At 53.6% G+C, this 20,147-nt stretch overlaps 1 protein-coding gene across 2 annotated transcripts in view, besides 3 other annotated features; it reads right to left on the reverse strand.

Annotated features, from left to right (window-relative positions):
• CACNA1S (calcium voltage-gated channel subunit alpha1 S) overlaps window positions 1-20,147 on the reverse strand; it is a 72,915-nt gene that overhangs the window by 18,780 nt on the left and 33,988 nt on the right. For both annotated transcript variants that reach the window (XM_005245478.4, NM_000069.3), the window contains exons 11-28: window positions 19,588-19,813; window positions 18,629-18,836; window positions 17,204-17,324; window positions 16,215-16,329; window positions 15,258-15,351; window positions 14,464-14,533; window positions 11,981-12,113; window positions 11,181-11,310; window positions 10,846-10,905; window positions 8,596-8,702; window positions 7,938-8,025; window positions 7,547-7,654; window positions 4,171-4,223; window positions 3,653-3,799; window positions 2,976-3,177; window positions 2,367-2,525; window positions 898-1,008; window positions 117-200 (exon numbers count right to left, since the gene is read on the reverse strand). In XM_005245478.4, the coding sequence (XP_005245535.1) occupies window positions 117-200; window positions 898-1,008; window positions 2,367-2,525; window positions 2,976-3,177; window positions 3,653-3,799; window positions 4,171-4,223; window positions 7,547-7,654; window positions 7,938-8,025; window positions 8,596-8,702; window positions 10,846-10,905; window positions 11,181-11,310; window positions 11,981-12,113; window positions 14,464-14,533; window positions 15,258-15,351; window positions 16,215-16,329; window positions 17,204-17,324; window positions 18,629-18,836; window positions 19,588-19,813 (2,216 nt within the window). The remainder of the gene's footprint in view (window positions 1-116; window positions 201-897; window positions 1,009-2,366; window positions 2,526-2,975; window positions 3,178-3,652; window positions 3,800-4,170; window positions 4,224-7,546; window positions 7,655-7,937; window positions 8,026-8,595; window positions 8,703-10,845; window positions 10,906-11,180; window positions 11,311-11,980; window positions 12,114-14,463; window positions 14,534-15,257; window positions 15,352-16,214; window positions 16,330-17,203; window positions 17,325-18,628; window positions 18,837-19,587; window positions 19,814-20,147) is intronic.
• Window positions 646-1,399: an enhancer, noted in NCBI's record as "H3K4me1 hESC enhancer chr1:201028065-201028818 (GRCh37/hg19 assembly coordinates)". NCBI's record gives its function as "activates a minimal SCP1, AML or CMV promoter by ChIP-STARR-seq in naive H9 embryonic stem cells {active_cell/tissue: H9 hESC(naive)}" and the evidence as "EXISTENCE:reporter gene assay evidence [ECO:0000049][PMID:30033119]".
• Window positions 811-1,017: a silencer, noted in NCBI's record as "fragment chr1:201028230-201028436 (GRCh37/hg19 assembly coordinates)". NCBI's record gives its function as "represses an EF-1alpha promoter that drives an FKBP-Casp9 reporter gene in an ReSE screen in phorbol 12-myristate 13-acetate-treated (for megakaryocytic differentiation) K562 erythroleukemia cells {active_cell/tissue: K562(+PMA)}" and the evidence as "EXISTENCE:reporter gene assay evidence [ECO:0000049][PMID:32094911]".
• Window positions 4,194-4,967: an enhancer, noted in NCBI's record as "H3K4me1 hESC enhancer chr1:201031613-201032386 (GRCh37/hg19 assembly coordinates)". NCBI's record gives its function as "activates a minimal SCP1, AML or CMV promoter by ChIP-STARR-seq in primed H9 embryonic stem cells {active_cell/tissue: H9 hESC(primed)}" and the evidence as "EXISTENCE:reporter gene assay evidence [ECO:0000049][PMID:30033119]".

Here is a 20,147-nt window from a genome sequence, read left to right on the forward strand (position 1 = left end):
TTTTTAACCCCTGGGGTTCCATGTTGTACACACAGTGGGCACCCCACAAATATCTGTGGATTGAACACATGCTCTTGGGCCCACCCTAGTGATGGCTCTGCCTGCCTGATACTCACGTCGATCTCACTGAGGATGACATCAATGATGCTGCCAATGACAATCAGGAAGTCAAACACATTCCAGGGGTCTCCAAAGTAGCCCTGGGAAGGAAAAGGATGGGAAAGCGAGGGGGTGAGCTTTGGGAGGAAGGAGCTCTGGCTGCTGGCAGAGGACAGTGTCCCACCCGAGCTAATGCGGAGCTGCGGGTTAGGCCAAGGTGGGGTGCCCATGACTCCACCTCCCACTGGTGCTCCAGTGGGCTCCCCCAACTCCAACACTCCTCTCCCCTTTGCTCTTTAGTTCCCTTCCTCCAGAGCAGAAAGTAGTGGTGGGGGGGAGGGGAGAATTGTTGGGAACTCAGGATTTGGGGTCCTGGTCCAGATAGAGATCTCTTTCATCCCCTGAACCCCACTGAACATCCTATCTGGGGCTTGACAGTGCGGAACTGACAGGGCTGTGCTGGGAACCATGGCAATGGACTTGAGAACGAAAGAGACAAGGCAAGATTTTCCCCCAGCCCTGGGACTGTTCTTCAGAAACTTCAGAGCAGGCGAGAATGTAAGAGAAGCTCCAAGGAAGAGGCGCCCAGAGTCTTTCTGTCATTGTCAATTCTGGCTGCATGAAGATCTGCCTGCCCTGTGTCTGAAGGTGGAAGTGGGCAAAGGGGTGAGCAAGTTGGGAGCAGAAGTGCTGGGCAAAGGAGCCCTGATAGGATGAGGGATGGGGGTGGATGTTCCACTGGAAGGTCCCACCCACCAGCCCCAGCTTCTCATCTGGCCCGGTGGCCCCCACACTCACCCTGGCCTTGAAGGCCATGAGCTTGAGGATCATCTCCAGGGTGAAGATGATAGTGAAGGCCACATTGAGGATGTCTGAGATGTGGTTCATCTGCTCCGACTGGTTGTAGTGCTGTGGAGGGGACACAGGAGCAGTGGGTCAGGGGGGCCGGGTTTGCCCACCCTGTAGATTGCATTCCCAGAGCCCCTGCCTCTTCCTGGGAAGCCCCCAACCCTTTCTTGGGCCCCCTGCTCACTTTGTTTTAGCTCAGAAAACTAGAAGCTGCTTTAGCAATCCCCTGAGTTCCGCCAAATTTTATGAACACCCTCCCCCTACCCCACCACCACAAAAGAGATAACACAGAAGGGGAGGGGCTCCAATTCCAAGTCCTGCTGAGTGCGTTCATTTACATGCAGGGCTGCAAGGCCAAAGCTCATTTACATATCTGCTTTGGGAGGACCAGGATGGCAGGTCGTCCAGGCAGGGCTCTGTAACAGGTTCTGTTTAGTCATTTGGGTACAGGACTGGGAAAGAAGACCCCTGGATTCCATAGTCCATGTTATCACTGGCTACTAGTGGGAAACTGAGAGCTCACCAAGCTTACTGTGTCTGCACACCACCCCCAGTGATTATGAGGCATGATGGTGAGGCCCCTGTCACCTACCACTATGACCCTCCTTAAATCTACTTCCTTGTAAGTTTTCCCAGGGATCTCTTACCCTTTTATTAGAAAGTGGATGAAATTCTACCTCTTCCACAAAACCTTCCAGGTAGTTTGGGAGGATCTGATGGCTGCCTCCACCCTGCCCTGCCTTGGCAGGACTGCCCAATTCTGCTGCCTGACTCAGCCCCAAACACAAGCCAGTGCTGATGATCCTCTGCGACCTGGGCCTCCTGGCTCAGTGATTGTCTTTCCATATCACCATGACCTAGCAGTGTGTGTTCTTATCATTGGGTGTGTCTTGGGCTTCTAGGAGCAGGGAGCCTAGTTACACCATCCTATTTATACAGGGCTTAAGGAATCAGATGCTTAATCGAGGCTTGATAACGATGCTGCTAATTATGATATTGTCTATAAAGGGTGCTCAACTCCCAAGAGAGACATCTGTTTTGCAAATACTAAACCCATTTTTCTTGGGACCAGAGCCAAGATTCCAGCCAACTCAACCATCCAGATTTGCAACAGCAGAAGAAAAACAGAGAAAGCACTTTCTACTTCCCACACTTTCTCCTCCTTCTGTGGTAGCTATCTCCTGTTTGCAGAATTACCGTACTATTTTTATGCTTGAATTACCTCCTTAATAAACCATAAGTGCCTGGTGACAAGGCCTGTGCGCAGTTCACTTCTGTATTCCATGTAGCACCTCAGCACACAGTGCACAAGAAATGTCTACTGGGGGGAATCCTGGCTATCCTGCCCTACTCATCCTGCCCTACCCAAGGCCCAGGTCCCAGTCTGATCAGACATTTTTCTCCTGGGGAGCCCTTACCTGCATGCCGAGGCAGATGGTGTTGAGCATGATGAGGGCAAACATCAGGTATTCAAAGTAGGAGGAGGTGACAATGTACCACACCTGGTACTGGTATGGGTTTTTGGGAATGTAGCACCTCAGTGGGCGGGCCTTCAGGGCATACTGTACACATTGGCGCTGTGACACATACAACAGGACAGGTCAGCACCAAGAGGCCCCTCCCTCCCTCTCCACACCCACATCCATGGGATTGACGGGCAAGTCAGGAGCAGCTGTGGCCAGGGGCTGTGGCTGAGGACTGTGAACTGTTTAGGGGAATAATCCTGTTGGGCTTTGGGTTCCCCTTGAGTTATCACAGCCCATTCCCATGGGTGCTATAGACTAGACTGTGGGTCTGAAGGGCTTCCTTTCTCTGGGCATCATGAGGTTCCACAAGAAGACCCACTCTACCAACTTGTATTGCTTCAGTTTGGAGATAGGGTAGGGTGCATGGAGGCTAGGGCTTGGCATCAAATGCAGGTTCTGGGGTCACCCTTAGGCCTCTCTTCCCTGGCTGAACCTAGGGCTTGGGCCAGCAGGAGGCCTGCTGGAGCTCTGCCCTCCACCTCTGGCAGGCAGCCCAGGCACCTGGTTCTTGTCCAGCTCACAGTTCTTGTACTCAGTCTCTCCCTGCTCCTGGAAGGTGACAATGACGAAGCCCACAAAGATGTTCATCATGAAGAAGGCAATGAGGATGATGTAGATGATGAAGAAGATGGCCATCTCCACACGGTTGTTGTAGATGGGACCCACGTCCTCCGCATTGGAGTCTATGGCCTTGTACAGCAGCCTGGGGGTGGGCAGAGAAGAGAGGACAGACTGGGTGGGGTGACAAGGCAGAGAGTCAGGCTGGGAAGGATGGGCTTTATCCCACTGGCTGTGGAGAGCCAAGAGAGCCTTCTCAACAATCAAGTTACGGGACAGGAGTTAGGTCGGCGCCAGGAAAGACCAGACCCAATCCTGGAATGGCCCTGCCTTTCAAGAGGTTGCCCCATCTATCCCTAATCAATCAGTATTAACAATCTGCCCTGTGGGCAGAGAGGCATACACCTATGGGGGACTGCGTGCATTTTGTCAGAGACCCCTGGTCAGGCCTACTTTGGAGTGACCAGTCAACATACCATCAAACCATCAGAGAGTTGGTGGGTTTGTTGGACGCCTGCCACAGGTAGCAGTAGCACCGTGGGGGCTGCAGAAGGGCAGGCTGGCTGCCTGGTCCTACCTGACCATGTCCATGAGGGACCTAGGCCCCAGCCATCACTCACTGAGGCCATCCCTCGAAGGTGGAGACCGTGAAGAGGGACATCATGGCTGAGAGCACATTGTCGAAGTGGAAGTCGCTGTGTACCCACTCGCGGTGACGCAGCTCTATCTGCATGGGGTCCCCGTCCTTGTACACGTAGTAGTAGCCCCTGTGGCAGGGAGGCCCAGTCACTCCACAGGGCATGGCTGGGCTGCCTTGCCCCACCCACATCCTCTGGGCCCTGGGTGGGGAGTGTGAAGGAGAAATGAAGTTCCAGATCTGGGACCCAAGGGGACACCGCTGGGCGAGTCCGAGGAAAGGGGCCTCTGTGAGTGTCCCTCCTAAGCCTAAAGGCTGAGCTTCCCCAGTTTCCAGCTTGAAGGGCCGTCATCCACCAACACACAGTCCCCTGCCCTGTGATCGTCCTGCCACACTCCCTGCCCCGTGACCGTAACCCTCCCACAGTGCTCCCTGCCCCGTGACTGTCCCACCATGCTCCCTGCCCCGTGACCGTCCCACTGTGCTCCCTGCCCCATGTACCTGCACTCCTCCTCTGTCATCTTGGACAAGTCGGTGCACCTGAAGAACTTCCCCTGCAGCCAGGAAGAGGGAGGGAGGGAGGGAGGCATGTTGTCATGGAAACAGGATAGAAAAGTGGGCTCTGGGAGTGAACAGTGGAAGGGGGGAGGGAAGGCAGGCATCTGAAAAAAGGAGCCCAAGCCCATCTCTTCCTCTCAGAGGCGTGAACTCGCCCTTGGGGCAGGGCCCCAGAGCAGCCTCCTTTCTTCACCATCGTTCATTCCCACAGCTCCCCCAGGGCTTCCCCACCCAGCCTAGATGCTGCCAAGACCGAGAAGGCAGTGCCTCAGAGGGGCATTTACTGAGTGCCCCCTGATGGGCTGAGGGGATGGACATGAGTGCAGCTTGGCCCCTGCCCCTCCCTCGGGGAGCTGAGCCTCTGAGCCCCTTACCTCCCGCACTGCTGCAGGAGGCCTTCTGTGGTCTCCCATTATGGAACAAGGAGGAGGGGCTGCCCACCTCCCACCTCCATCCTCCTGCCAGTGGGGCGGGAGCAGCAGAGTTGGAGCCCAGCTGGGCTCTGATGACTCAACTTGTCTCAGAGTCAAGCGGGGTCCCATGTCCCAGCCCAAGGCCCAGGTAGGGGGGCTCTGTGCTCCTCTGCACTGACTTTGGCCAGAGCAGTTAATCCTTTTTTTTTTTTTTCAAGGCTTTGCAGATTATTTATTATAGAATTTTTTTTAAATTATACTTTAAGTTTTAGGGTACATGTGCACATTGTGGCAGTTACTCCTTTTATCTGTGTCTCAGATTGGGTCCCTGAGCAACATGTTTGAAGGAAAGTAGTGGATGGCTAGGTCTTTTTTTTTTTTGTTTGCTCACTCTGTCGCTTAGGCAAGAGTACAGTGGTGTGATCTCGGCTCACTGCAATCTCCGCCTCCCCGGTTCAAGCAACTCTCTGGCCTCAGCCTCCTGAGTACCTAGGATTACAGGTATGTGCCATCATGCCCAGCTAATTTTTGTATTTTTAGTGAGAAGGGGTTTCACCATGTTGGTCAGGCTGGTTTTGAACTCCCAACCTCAAGTGATCCGCCCGCCTCGGCTTCCCAAATTGCCGGGATTACAGGCATGAGCCACCGCGTCCAGCAGGATGGCTAGGTCTTAAAGAGGCTAAATCAGGCTTGAGATCCACGGATTCTGGTGCAGTTCCTTCAAAGACCCAGATAGGGAAACTGCCTCGGCCAAGGACACAGCACTAGTTGAAGACACAGCTGGCCCTTGCCCCCCGCTGCCCCTGCCACACAGATCTGTGCTGTTCCTATCACATGCCCTTTTTATGGTTGCTGGAGCAGAAGGTGAAGGTGAGGCGGGTGGTACTGGGGGTAAGCAGAGAGTGGATAGAGCTGCCACTGGGCAGGGTCTGGGCACTTAACACCAAATGCCCAGTTTACTATGGAAAGCAAAGCTTGACTCTGCTATAATGTGGAATGCACGTGGTGTTTCCACAGAGTCAAAAGCGACATCAAATGCCAACTGGAACTGTTATGCTTCTAGAACCTCCTGGAAGGCAGGAGCTGGGGGTCTTTTAATGAGAGACAAAAGCATGGCGAGAGTTGGGTGTTGACAAGCAATTGCTCTTGCTTGTCTGGAAGGGACGTGGAAGCCAAAGGGAGGGCAGCGGCTCATTCATTCCTTCAGGGAGCGTGTCTGGTGGGCCTCCTCTGCACCAGGCCCTGGGCAGGGGGCCAGGCAAAGGGATGAGGCAGACACAGACACTGCCCTCAGGGGATTCTGGGGACCCAAGCTTGGCAGAGGAGGGGGCTGGGGAGCAGGAGGTGGACAGCCCTCAGTTGGGCCAGGGGGAGAAGGCTGCACGCAGCTGGCAGAGTGGCCAGACACAATAAACACTCCCATCCCTCCCGTCCCTCCAGGACAGGGACCAACAAGACCTATTCCCCGCGAAGATTCTCTAGGGGCTCCACGCTGCTGCTTCTCTCAGAGCCTGTTCCCTGCCCTCAGCGAGGATTTGGCTTGTAAGGCCCTCAGCTCTAGCAGAGGCCCTGGCTCAAGTATGGAAAACATACTCCATACATGTTTGTTGAATGAATGAATGATTGTAAGATGATGCCATTTCATGTCTAAGACTGACTGGGGTTATGTAATTATGACTTTGAAAGATCGTGCTTTGGTGATAGGAGGAGCAGCTGGGTCATGCAGGAAGTATCAAGGGTGTTGGTGTATACTTAGGAATCAATTTCTCTGTCCTGCAAATGATCTGAGAGCCAGAGACATCTGGAAATCAGGGTTTGTGTGAGGGACATCTTTGTAGGGCTAATTCCTAGAGAGGAACTGAATAGCTGTGTTCTCCTAGGAAAATGAGAAAAGTATAAGGTTGGCTCCGGATGTGAGATGATGAACTCCCAGCCTTAGAGGCTCCTGGTAGATGTGGATGATGCCAGACATACCAGCCAGGAAGATGGGCTGCCGCAGCCCAGCTGCACTGACGGAGGCGGAGTGTGGGGCTGGGATAGGGCGTATGCTTGGCACAGGCCTGGCAGGATGGGAGGAAGCGGGCAAGGGTGGGAAGGGAGAAGAATGGCTGTGGGGCCCTGGGAGGAGGGGCCTCCCTCCCCAAGGAAAAGCCACGTGGGGTAGGGAGAGAGCAGATACAATGGCAACAGTGGTCAGCAGTCAACCAAGAGGCCCGGGATGGATGTCACTGAGGAAACTGGATCTGGACTTGCCACATATTAGCCTTAAAACTCTGTGCATTCAGTTGAAGCAAATTCACTTTGAGTCTCAATAATGTGTTGTGTTGCTTGTGTATTTAATTTTTAAAAGAGCTTAAGATAGTTGCTGTCAGGTTTTCATTTTAGCTTATTAGATCTCTTAAAGCTATTAACCATCATTGAAAGATGGCTGTCTCTTAAAAGTTTGATTTAGGAGAGTTGTATTTATAGATTGAAGTTTCATAGTCATATTTAAAAGATGGACATCAAACTAACCGTTTTCTTGTTTTGTTTGATAGAATTCTAAGTGCATGACAATAGCTTTAAGAGATGGGGCTTGAATTGTATTTAAATTTCAACTCAGTAGACACATGACCCTCTGCTACCATTTCAGTAGTGTTAGAAGCCCATTGACTGTTTCTGAGATTATCATTGGGCTGCTTTTGTGGAACTCAAGGTGCTATTTAAATGTAACGATGTCTTACTGGCTTTCTGCAAACTTATGTGTTTGGTGTGGTGAAGACCTATTTTTCAAAATAAAATATTCTCATATGGAAATCTGTGCATTCGAAGACATCTGTTTTCACAATGTGGGGCTCCTTGTGCTTGAGAGTGGGCACCAGGGCTGGGAGCGGGAGGGGGAGCTGCTCGCGCAGGCTGGGGCTCACCTTGAAGAGCTGGACGCCGATGCAGGCAAACATGAACTGTAGGAGGGTAGTGACCAGCACGATGTTCCCGATGGTGCTGATGGCCACGAACATGCACTGCACCACGTGCTGGGGACAGAGGGGCCAATGGGGACTGGGGGTGCACCCACAGTAACCCTGCTAGCCCAGTTGAGGAAACCCCAGGAGTGCAAGACTTGCTGCCTCCTGATGAGTTGGAGGTGGGGAAAGGCTGGTGGGGAAGCATAGCTACCCCAGCCTCATCCTTACCCCTATCTGCCCAGGGAGATGGGACAGGGGTCCCAGCCATGGCTGGGCTGAGGTTTCTGGAGCGAGGAGGCCCCTGTAACCCCTCCCATTCCTCTCTGGGGCTCCTGCCCGGGCCCTCTCTCACCTTCAACCCCTTGGCTCTGTTGATGGCTCTGAGTGGTCGGAGCACCCTCAGCACCCTCAGGATCTTCACCACGGAGATGGCACTGGACCTGGGGGGCGGCAATGGTGAGGGGGCTGAGGGCAGCCTGCTCCAGCCAGCCCAGTCTGCGGTGGAGCCTCCAGCCATATCCTGCCCTCCACACCAGCTGCCTTTCTGCCTGAAAACACTCCCACCTTCCCCTTCCCTTTCCTCCAGCCGTGAGAGTGTGCCCGACTCCAGGGCACAGCCACCCCTGCTATCTGGACCATGCTCTCATGGGTGTGTCATGAAGCAGAAGACAGCCTTCCCCTGTGGGTGGCTAGAAGCTCCGTCCCTCCCGTCAGACGGTGAGCACCCCAAAGGCAGGGGCTGTGCTCCCCACAGGGTCGGGGAGGGAGGGACCACTTCCTCCTCTCTGCATCTCCTGCCAGTCTCTAGAACAGAGCGCTGCCCACTTCACTGGTGGCAACCCACATTCCAGCTGGTGACAACCCACAGGACCCCCTGCCTCCATCGGAGGCCCCGAGAGACCCTCCTCTTGTGGCAGGGGCCCACCAACATGGGTGGGACTCCCACTACAAAGCCCTGGCACAGAGCAGAGGGTGGTCTGTGCCCAGGGCTGGCCCTTGCCGCTGCTCACTCAAGTCCCATGGAGATGAGGGACACGGCCACCACCAGCAGGTCCAGCATGTTGAAGTAATTGCGGCAGAAGGAACCCTTGTGCAGGAAGGCTCCGTAGGTCGTCATCTGGGGAGAAAGAGGCAGCAGCCTGGATGGAGGAGCTTGGAGAACAGGCCTGTCTCCCACAGACAAGGGCTTCTCGCCTCTGCTCAGGAGAGCACTTACTGAGGCAATAGCCTTCCAGAAATCTCTATATTTCACTCAACTCCTTGCAGTGGCCTAAATGCATTTCCTATCTCTGCTCGCAGTTGTTGAAATGTGAGGACTTCTCACGGGCAGCTGGGCCAGAAGTCTCTTTCTTTACATGCCATAGGGAACCCTGGGTCTCCTTTCCCATGGGGCCACAGAGTGGGGGAGCCCTGGCCCTACTGTCTCCTGTGGGACATAAAACTTCTCCTTCCTGGAAAGCTTCTTGGGCAATCCCCTCTGCCTTGTGGTTTGCTAAGTCAGGCTGAACAAGCCCTCCAGGACTCTAGGGGTCCTAGGCCCTCTCTCCTCCCTCTCCACCTCCTTCCCATCACCTGCCTTCTTGCTCCCCTCTCAGCTTCTTTGATATATTCTCTAATAATCTCCCATGCCTTTGCACAAATGCATTTTGCCCTTAAAATCGAACAGGGTTGAAACCTTTCCCAGCATTCAGGGACCTATATGATTTTGTCTTAATTTGCCTTCCCAGACTCGGCACCCAGGCCTCCTGTATGTGCAATATATCCCAGCCCAAAGGGGCCACTTTATCCTCTCTGGCAATGTCCCCAGATCTCCTTATAATGCACTTGCTACTGTCTGTCCTAGGCCGCCCTAGCTATCTCTACCCAGTGAAGGCCTGTCCAACTTCAAGTTCTGGCTCTCGTGCCCCAAACTCCACAAACTTCTTGACCTCGAGGAAGCCACCATCTCCCTCTACTCAATTCCTTCAATAGTTGAGGCCCCGAAATAAGGTACTGTCCTGATTTCACACCACAGCCTGCTCTGAGCCTGTTCCTGGGGCTCGGCTAGCTTCTCCTCTCTTAGTTTGTGAATGTGCACGCGGGGGCTACTGGGTTTCAGTTATAGATGGGTTCTCCTTCTGCCCCCAGAGCCCACCACCCCCAGGATGGCTGGAACCCCGTGCATCTGTGTTGGGAATGGGTGAGCAGTGACGTGCTGTGGATAAGGTGTGGAAAAGGCGTGATAGGGCAGAGCTGCCAGGAACCCAGCTCAGGGCAGCAGTCACTTCTCTGGGGACTCTTGGAGGAAAAGGCCTTTCCAGTCACTGTTAACAGAGGTCTAGGGATGACAAATCACACAGCTCCCCGGCTCTGCTCTTTTTTTTTTTTTTTTTTTTTTTTTTTTTTGAGATGGAGTCTCTCTCGTCACCCAGGCTGGAGTGCAGTGGCATGATCTCAGCTCACTGCAACCTCTGCCTCCCAGGTTCAAGCAATTCTCCTGCCTCAGCCTCCTGAGTAGTTGGGATTACAGGTGCCTGCCGCCATGCCTGCCTAATTTTTGTACTTTTAGTAGAGACAGGGTTTCATCATGTTGGCCAGGCTGGTCTGAAACTCTTGACCTCAGGTGATCCGCCCGCCTCGGCCTCCCAAAGTGCTGGGATTACAGGCGTGAGCCACTGCGCCCGGCCACCAGGTCTGCTCTTAAGCTAACTGTATGGAAGAAAAATGCGAGAGTTCGCTGGGCGAGGTGGCTCATGCCTGTAATCCCAGCACTTTGGGAGGCTGAGGTGGGCGGATCACAAGGTCAGCATATCAAGACCATCCCAGCCAACATGGTGAAACCCTGTCTCTGTTAAAAATACAAAAAATTAGCTGGGTGTGGTGGCAGACGCCTGTAATCCCAGCTACTTGAGAGGCTGAGGCAGGAGAATCGCTTGAACCTGGGAGGTGGAGGTTGCAGTGAGCTGAGATAGTGCCATTGCACTCCAGCCTGGTGACAGAGTGAGACGACATCTAAAAAGAAAAAATAAAAAGAAAAATGCCTGAGGCTTCAAGACATGGGCTGTACTCTGTGGATGGGGGAGCCACAGGCTGGCTGGGCTTTACTTTCCAGCCCTCCATCCAGATACTTGTGGGCCTGCCGGTGTGCTGGGTCCCATGAGTCTTTCCTGCCAGTCTCCACCTCTTTTCTGCTTCTCTCCAGCCCCTGAGTTCAGTGTGTGTAAACTGGAGCCACATCAGGGAAACTCCCTCCCCAGGGCTGCCCCACAGCCTTCACTCACCTTGAGGACAATCTCCACAGTGAAGACAGAGGTGAACCCGATGTCAAAGTGTTTAAGGATCTGGGGACAGGGCAGGGGCGGGAGCAGCCAGTGAGAGGAGGAGGGGGCAACAGTATCAGCAGCAGCAGCAGCATAAAGCAGGCAGTCAGAGCCATTCTGTGCCCCAGCCTGTGCCGTTCAGAAGGAGTGGAGTGGGCAGTCCTATCCCTGAGGAACTGAACTCTAAGAAACTCTGATGCTTGTAGCCACATAGAGGATACAGCTGAACCCTGGGCACCAGACTGAGGCTGGAGGGGGCAGGGGTGCTGAGTGGCAGAGAGGGTGAAGCCCGTCACCTGATTTCTCATGGAATCAGCCCGGATGGGGTCTTCCGCAGCCAGTGCAGCGCTGCTGAGCAGGATGAAGAGCAGGATGAAGTTGGTAAACCAGGTGGCATTGACGATGCGGTGACACAGGACACGGATCCTGGTGGGGCGAGGTAGGGAGGGCAGGGGAGCTGTGAGCTGCTGGAGGCTCAGGCCTCATCAGCCTCCATCCTGCGGACGAACATGGAATACACCTCCTGCTCCTCCCTGGCCAGGAGAGAAGTGCAGCCCTGCACCTGCAGGGTCCTCTGGCTGGACACACAGGGGGCCCTGACCTCTCACTCTGTTTCTAAAGCCTTAGTTCCTCCTCCCAGCCAAGCCCCTCCCACCACCTGCCCCTTCCTGCAATTATGGCACCACCCTGAGGTTTCCCATCAAATGAAAATGGGACAGGCTGGTCTCTATCCATGAGGCAGACAGATGAAACTCCACAGAGACTATGGCCTGTGTATAGTTTAAAGGTGTAAAATTATGAAGCCGATAAAAACTATAGCTTCCCTTGCTCTCTCCCCCTTGACCTGTCTAAAGCTCTTCTCTCAGAAAGGAACCAATAAACAGGTCCCTCTTAGGTGTAAATAACTGATAAGGTTTAAAGCATTACTTTTCCCAGATATACTAGCATTTTAAACAGGGCACAAGATCTTAAGCTAAAACACTGAGTTTCTCATAGTATAACTGTAGGCATGGAGAGTCAGACAGGGTTTTTTCTAGGGCAGGGAAGCAGATGAGAGCCGCATCAATCACCCCCACAGCAGCCAAGGGGCACCCACTTATTGGTGGGGCTGAAGATGAAGAAGGAGCTGGCTTCTGGAATGGGCACGGCCTTCTCTTTCAGCTGCAGCTCAGCCAGGGGACGTGGTCGGGGGCTCAGCGGGATCTCAGGCTCATCTTCCTCGTCATCCCCTGTGGGGAGAGAGAGAGGAATTAGGGGTGTCTTCCCATGCTTTGCTATGCCCATGGCTTCTGTGCTCAGAGCCCTCCTAGGAGCCCCTGCAGCCAGTAAGCAAGGGACCACCAGGCTGACTTGGGACCCTAGGGCTTTGGCAGAGTCCAGCCCGGGCATCTCCTTCTCTTCACAGTGAGCAGATTTGAGCGTCAAGGGTAGGTAAGGGAAGCCCACAACCTTCCAGAAGTGGGGCAAGGAGCAAGCCCAAGTAACTTTGTGGCTGCATGTTGTGTCTCAAGGCTCGATCCACACAGCCTCAAATATCCATAGGCTGGGGGATGGAGTGGGAAACGCTGCTTCAGAAGAAGAGACCTGGGTCCTAGTCCCAGGTCTGCGTCTAACTTGCTGTGCAGTGCTGGGAAGGTCTGTGCCCTTCCTTAGCGTCAGTTTCCAATTTGTGAAACCGACAAGGGGCAGGAGGGTTGTTGAAATAAAAGGACCCTGTGATCCTCTCCTGGGCTAGGATTTTAAAAATAGTAACTTCACAGAGAAGCTTCTTCCAGCATGGAAAAAAGCAATCAGAATTTCTTGAGCTTCACCCAGTCCCCAGGATGCAGGCAGGGGATAGGGGATGAAGAGACGGACATTCCAAGCACATTCACTGAGTCTCATGACCTCAAGAGGAAGCTGAGTACCCGAAATCCTCAGCTCCCAGGGTGGGAGAATCCCGTGATCAGACGGTGGGGGCACTATTCAAAGCTGGGGTTTCTCTTGGTTCCCTCCCCTGACAGCTACCTCCTCCCTAACCCTCCTGGCCCCTGGCAGAGGCCTTGAGGGAAGCCAAGAGCTACTGGATTCTACTGTCTCCATCATGGCCACCTGTAGGGGTTCTCAAATCCACCAAGTCACATTCCAATTTTTCTGTTCCCCCGAGAAGCTAGAACTCTTATTCCTTGGAATGAGTGTCCTAACGTGACACTTTCTGTCTTGCCCAGCCTGCCACAGACCCCAGAGACACATTTCACGCTTAATCGCAGAGACCATTAATTCTTCGAGTTAGCATATTTGCATCTTTCCCCCGCCTTCTTACTTCCTCCACCTATGCCCAGTTTGTTAATTTCATTGCACATATCTTTTGCTGTAAGCCATTTCAAACTATTTTTAGAAAGAAGCAGGATATAAACACATTCAGTCCCCTTGGTAAGACTCTCTTCCTGCTGTCCAGCCCACACCCCCTCTACCCCTCCTCTCCTTACTTCTTTCCAGCCCCTTCCTTGTCCCTGACCTCAGATTTCCTGTCAGCCACCATCTCACCTGCACACAAGTCACTGCCATCTAAGAGGTGATAACTGTTAGATGAAACAACTCAAAATGAGTTATTCTAAAACACAAATATTCATTGCTGGTAGATATTTGAAGAAATTTCATTATTCTTATTTGTACCAGCTCCATTCTCCCCATACTTCACTTTGCAAAATTCTTTCATGCATTCATTCATTCAATTTATTGAGTGCCTCCTCTGAGCCAAACACTGTGCTGTGTGGAACACAAAAGTCCCCCTGGAGCTTAGAGTCACTGGGGCAAACAGATGCTAATCAGCTGATTCCATAAGTAGACATACAAGTAGCTGATCAGCTGATGGGACAAGTAGATCTAAAATTGCCCCACTGACCCGGTGATCCGAAGGACCCAGGACCCAGAGAGTTCTTGGGCCCCAGGGCTCTGTCAGGTGGCCTGGTAAGATTAATTCAGCCTGGTTCTGCTTGTCCTCTTCTTGGTCCAGATAAATGGGATTTCTGCAGCAGTCACTGGCTATTTGCATTTATGAGATGTTTGTGGTTTATCCACGGTTGTTTCTTATCCATGCTCCCCCTACCCCACCATTGTTTCCTCCTCTTGGACTTTCCCACATTGCCTGCCATGGTTCTATCCATCCCTGTATCCTTCCGGCCCCCAGCCCTACCAGACACTGGATAGTGAGTAATCTGCCTCATCACGACATATATGGGCGTGTCCTCATTTATGATCCATTCTGCATGACTGGCAGGGAAGACTTGTATACCCACGTGTCCCTGTGCTTCTTGAAAACTGAGTCCTTGGCAGTGAGGCACATAGCTGGCACTCAATAAATACTTGCTGAGTTACATGAAAGTAAAATGTATGGGTTTTTCTGTTGTGTGCATTGTTGAGAGAGACAAGCTGGCAGATGGCTTATTTGCACAGAAGGGATGTCTCCGGTGTTCTGATCTCCACATGGAGGGGTACAGGTAGGGACACACAAGAGACTGCCCATGGGGAGAATTCAGGACCGGCACACCCCTACTTCACCCCAGCACCCTGCTCCAGTCCAGTCTCCAGCATCCTCACCTGGGAAGTCGGCTGAGGGGTAGGGATCCTTCACCTCATTGACATTAGATTCAAACTCATCGATTTTCAGCTGTAGGAAGGAACACAATGACTATAACAATGAAAAAGAAGTTGCGGTTTCCCCTCAATGAGCATATACTGGAGAGCCTGTTAGCGTTCAGCTCACTTAATCATCCCTACAGCCTAAGGAACAGGGAATATTATGATCATCCCCATTTTACAAATGAGAGGCCAGGCCCAGCAAGGCCAGACAACTTGCAAAAGCTCCCACGGGGCAAGGCCTGAGCCCGCCCTAGCCTGTCTGACTCTATCTTCACATACCCACTGCTTGGTTCTCCAGAAGGGAGTTGAGCTTCCCCAGGCCAGGACCTCGAGCCTCTCTGGGCCCAGTTCCCTGACTTTTTGAACTCCACTTCCTCAGTTTTCAGGAATGGTGAGCAGAGTCAGATGGGAATGAGCAGGGCAGGGCTAGCAATGGTGGAAGCCGGTCTGGGCCTCTCAGTGGAACAGCGGGTGTCAGGGAGAGGAAATACCTCCTTGGTCTGGAGTGGGAAGCTGCTACGCTGGAGAAGTCTGGTTCCCAGATTGGGAGGTCTGCTGTGCCTCTCAGTGCAGGAGTCCCTGGAGATGGATTCGCTGGCTCTCCCTCCAGTCGTACGCAGGGAGATGCCCTCACCTGGCTGATAACTCTCCTACCTCCCCACCCTACCCCACCTGTACCCTGTGGTATGAAGGGAACCATGGATTGGAAGAGCCCCTAGACTGCCTCTAACATCCCCACCTGAGGTGCTCACCTTGGCAGTGGTGGGGATGCCCTCACCCTTGGGTTTCTGCTCCAGCTTCTTGGCCATCGTTGACTTCTCCTCTTCTGACTTGTCTGGGAGACCCCTGAGTTAGAAAACCCAAAGTGGAAGCCAAACCAGAAAGTTCTCAGGGATCTGCTGAACCTGACAACACCTTCAGGAGGATCCCACACCAAGGGCTCCAGGGGATCTGTAGGAGGAGTGGCATCAGCCCCCAAATGGGAAGGGCAGTGGGCTCAGGCAAGTCCCTTCTCTGTGGTGAGAGGGCCCGACACACAGCATGGGCCCATGGCTACCGGTGGCTCACTGGTCAGCCATGTTTAACGTTGGTTGATAGTGAATGGGTGGAGTGTGGCTTTGTACTGGGTTTATACGAGATTCATAGAGTGGAAGCATGGTTTGCCCAAGATGGCTCCAACTCTTTAGAAATGTCTGAACTCCATTGCTGGTCCCTCTTTTTCCATCTTGCCTCCACAGGAATGGGTGTCCCATTCCTGTAGGCATGGGCATTGGAAGAAGCAGAACTCTGTCTAGAACCTAGGTACTTGAAGCATAATCCTCCAACCAGCAGCATGGGCACCACCGGGGAGCCTGTTCGATGTAGAACTCCAACCCCGCCCAGAGGCATAGCGACTCAGTGACAGGGTTGGGAGGGGAATTCCCAGGATCCCTCCGCAGGGGAGCCCTGCCCAACTGGCCAGGCTCTGAGGCTCTGGCATTCTACATCCTGAGGCCTGTCTGTCCAGAAGGCCAACTTGTCTCTGTTCTTGCCCCCAGGGAAGGATCTCAGCCACCCCCATGTGCAGGTTACAGAAGTTTGCCCACTGAGGTGGGTGTCACCATGTCAGGGACCCTGATCATTGGGTTACAGGGAGGCCCTGTCCAGAGCTGGAAGGCCATGGCCACGACTGAGCACTCCAGGTCCCTTCCTGCTAAGGAAGCACTCACTTGGACATCTTCCTGCGTTTTTTCTCCTCAGCCTTGGCCTTCTGGGCAGAAGTCAGGCTCTCCGCCTCGGCCAGGTTGTCCACGGCAATGGCCAGGAAGACATTGAGCAGGATGTCTGAGCGGGTTTAGCTAAGGAGCCTTTGGTTGTAGGTGGAAGGGAGCCTGCAGGGCAGGAGTTCTGTCTGCCTGCATGTGGGCAGGACCTAACCCCACTCTCCCAGAGCTACCCATGGGAAGGTGTGGATCCAGGGACATAGTGGAAGGCCCTCAGGGAAGCCTGCCTGCTGAGAGTACCCAGGAAGGAGCCTGAATCCTGTGGCCTTGAATCCCATCCGTTTCCTGTCCAGACTGGTCCCAGCTCCCACACTGAGCTGCGTGGAGAGCCAGTGAGGCAAAACAAGTGAGACCCATGCGAGGCACACATGAGTTGGGGAACAACGGTGCCCTTCCTCCCCACTCCCCATAGTATCACATTCCAAGGTGCAGGCACCAGGACGGCTCAGGCACTGCCAGTAACTCTCCGGCCCCATCCACCTTACCCTCATATCTGCTCCTCTCATCTCTCAGCCTGTTCTGGCTCCGTCCTTCTGGTCCCAGCGCTCAGACTGATCATCCCGGCCACAGGGTCCTGGTGGCTCCCTGCCTGCCTCTGAACCTTTGGAGAAGGCTGTCCCACCATCTTCATGTTCCTCAGCAAAGCTCTGTCCTTCCTCCCCACTGCTCTAGGCTCACTGACCTTACTGGGCTTTTAATTCCTCCCAGCTGTAGCCAAACAACCCTGTGAGTCTCTAATCTTTTTGGCACAAAGAATTATCCTACAGCTGTACCTGCATTTGCTATGTCCTACCCCCTACCGCATGGGCCTGGGAGCTCCCCTCCAGCCAGAGGGCCTGGCTACCTAGAAACTGGACACCCTTGACCCCCATTTTAAGCCCTTTCCCCCACCCCCTCCCTAAGCTCTTTTCTGCACCCTGCTCCCGAGAGGATACAGTTGCCACAGACGAAAAGGATGATGAAGTAAATGCACACAAGCATGCCAGGGTAGGACGGCCCGCCGTAGGCCATGATCCCATTGTACATCATTGAGGTCCAGTCTTCCCCTGTCAGTACCTGTATGGAGGGAGGATAGAGGGCTCGGGAACACAGAGGGGCCTGAGAGTCTTCTATTGGGACCGCATTGACCGAAGTTCTCCTCCAACTCTGTGGTTCTCTCAGACCTTCCCTCTTTTCATTCCACAGTCTGGGTGGCCAGCCCCTGCTATCCCCAAAACCCCTATTCCAGCTGGGGAATAGTGGCTCACGCCTGTTACTTATCACTTTGGGAGGCCGAGATGGGTGGATCATTCGAGGTCAGGAATTCGAGACCAGCTTGGCCAACATGGTGAGACCCCATCACTACTAAAAATGCAAAAATTAGCCAGGCATGGTGGTGGGCACCTGTAATCCCAGCTATTTGGGAGGCTGAGGTAGGAGAATTGCTTGAACCCAGGAGGTGGAGGTTGCAGTGAGCTGAGATTGTGCCACTACACTCCAGTCTGGGTGACAGAGCGAGACTCCATCTCGAAAAACAAAACAAAACCCCTATCCCAGTGATCTAGAAGCTTATTGCTGCTCTCTATGGACAAGAAATTGGACTGTGGGCTCACCATTTCCCTGTTCTCTTCCTAACCCCCGGGCTTCACTGTGCTTCACCCACCCAGGCCTCCTGTTATTCTGGCCTTAGAAGTCCTGTGAAATGTCGAGTCTCTTGAAAGGCCGGAGGCCTGACCAGCCAGTGGGGCTAATGGAAGAAAGAGAGGATCGACGGACGATCACACACTGCCTTTCTCACTGGTACAAAAGGGAGGTGTCACTCATGAAATATGGGCCACTCCAGAGAGGAATGTTTCCACGTCTACACTAAGAAAACTCCTCCAGGAGGCCAGGGACCCTGAAAGCTTCTCACTGGGCCACAGCCATGCTCCCTTGGGTGGCTGATAGTGAATCGGCTGTGCCGCCCCTGCAGAGTGAGAAATGGTTTGCGTTTCTCTGGGGCTTTCTCAGCCTTCGGGAGAAAAAGCTCCCCTTATCTGACTTTGCCCTGAGACCTGAGTGGCACATGAAAGCACGCATCCGGACTCCCAGGCCATCCCTAACCCAGTCATATTATCCTGCAGTAGGCCAGCACTGTGCTGGGCACCAGAAACAAAGACTAATCAGACAAAGTAGGTGCAGCTGCAGTGAAGGAGACCCATAAGCAAGTGTTACAATGGAGAGAAGCACAGGTGATAGGGGAGCCCAGAGAAGGACATTGCACTCAACCAGCAGATCAGACAAGGCTTCCTGGAGAAGGTGATGCCCACCTTGATCTTGAAGGACAAGAAGCAGGATTCAGCAACCGTTCAGAAGGAGGGACACGCAGAGGGAGAGCCTACCTGGAAGACGCTGATGAGGGCTTGGGGAAAGTTGTCAAAGTTGCTGCGCCGTACTTCTGTGTCTTCAAAGTCATACCTCCCCCCAAAGAGCTGCATGCCCAGGAGGGCGAAGATGACGATGAAGAGGAAGAGCAGCAGCAGCAGGGAGGCGATGGAGCGGATGGAGTTGAGCAGGGATGCCACCAGGTTGCTCAGCGACGTCCAATATCTGAAGGAAGAGGAGGCACAAGGTGGGAGGAGACAGACCCTCTCACTGGGGCCCACGAGGTGTGGACAGGCTTGGGGGAAAGACTCAGGACTGATGTGACACAGAGGGAGGGGGCTGCCTCACTGCTGGAAGACCCTGGATTCATGGCTGCATGCCCACTCTCTCCTTCCTGCAGAGCACTTGTCTGTTTGTAATTTCACGCTGGTTAATATGACTATTGATTAACTTTAGGTCCCATCACTGGACGAGAAACCCCGTGAGAATAAGGACAGCTTTTCTCCTGTGCACCCTCGATGCCCTGTGCTTAGCACAGTACCCAGCTCATGCAAGTGACGGATAAATAGTGCAAGCAGATGAACCTCTCTCCACTTCCCTCACCACCTCACAAAGGCCCTGATAGTCTGTGTTCCTCCTTCTTTCTTATTTCCACCCCTTTCCCTACAGCTCTTCCTGTCCTCCTTCCCTCTTCCCATCTTTCCTTTTCTTTTCTTCCTTTCTCTTTTCCACCACCCCCACTCCCTGCCCTGCCATAGACTATGGTAAGAAAAAAAACAGAGAAATGAGTTCAAAGTGGGGAAGTGATTCTTTTTTCACAGAAGGAGGTTATTTCAAGGAGGGAGGGAAGTCTGGGCAAGGGACCAGTGGTGAACCTGCACAGATCCCAGACCTCAGGAAATGAGATGGGTGTAGACCAGACCAGCCCGTGGTGCCTGCCGGGGACCCGGGAGTGCCAGCCGACCCCGGCACTCACTTGGTGATCTTGAAGATCCTCAGGAGGCGGATGCAGCGGAGCACGGAGATGCCCAGGGGTGTCATGGCACCCGACTCCACCAGCAGGATCTCCAGGATACCGCTACACACCACGAAGCAGTCGAAGCGGTTGAAGATAGACATGAAGTACTGGCGCAGGCCCAGCCCGTACATCTTCATCAGCATCTCAGTGGTGAAGAGGGACAGCAGCACCCGGTTGGCAATGTCTGTAGGGTTGGTGGCACAGCCCCGGCATCACTCTCCTTCCCTTCTCCTGACTCCCAGCCTTGGCTGTGGCTGGGCCTCAACCCAGGACGCCCCTTCCCTTGTTTCCAAGGCACCATGGATGTTTTTTGGGGGTGCAGGGGGCAGGGCCTCACTCTGCCCAGACTGGAGTGAAGTGGCACAATTATGGCACACTGCAGCCTCGACTTCCCAGGATCAAGTGATCCTCCCCACTACCGGCATGCACCACCACATCCAGCTAGTTTTTTGTATTTTTAATAGAGACAGGGTTTCGTCATGTTGCCCAGGCTGGTCTTGAACTCCTGGGCTCAAGCA

The sequence above is a fragment of the Homo sapiens genome, chromosome 1 (genome assembly GCF_000001405.40).
Source record: "Homo sapiens chromosome 1, GRCh38.p14 Primary Assembly".
Classification (NCBI taxonomy): domain Eukaryota; kingdom Metazoa; phylum Chordata; class Mammalia; order Primates; family Hominidae; genus Homo; species Homo sapiens.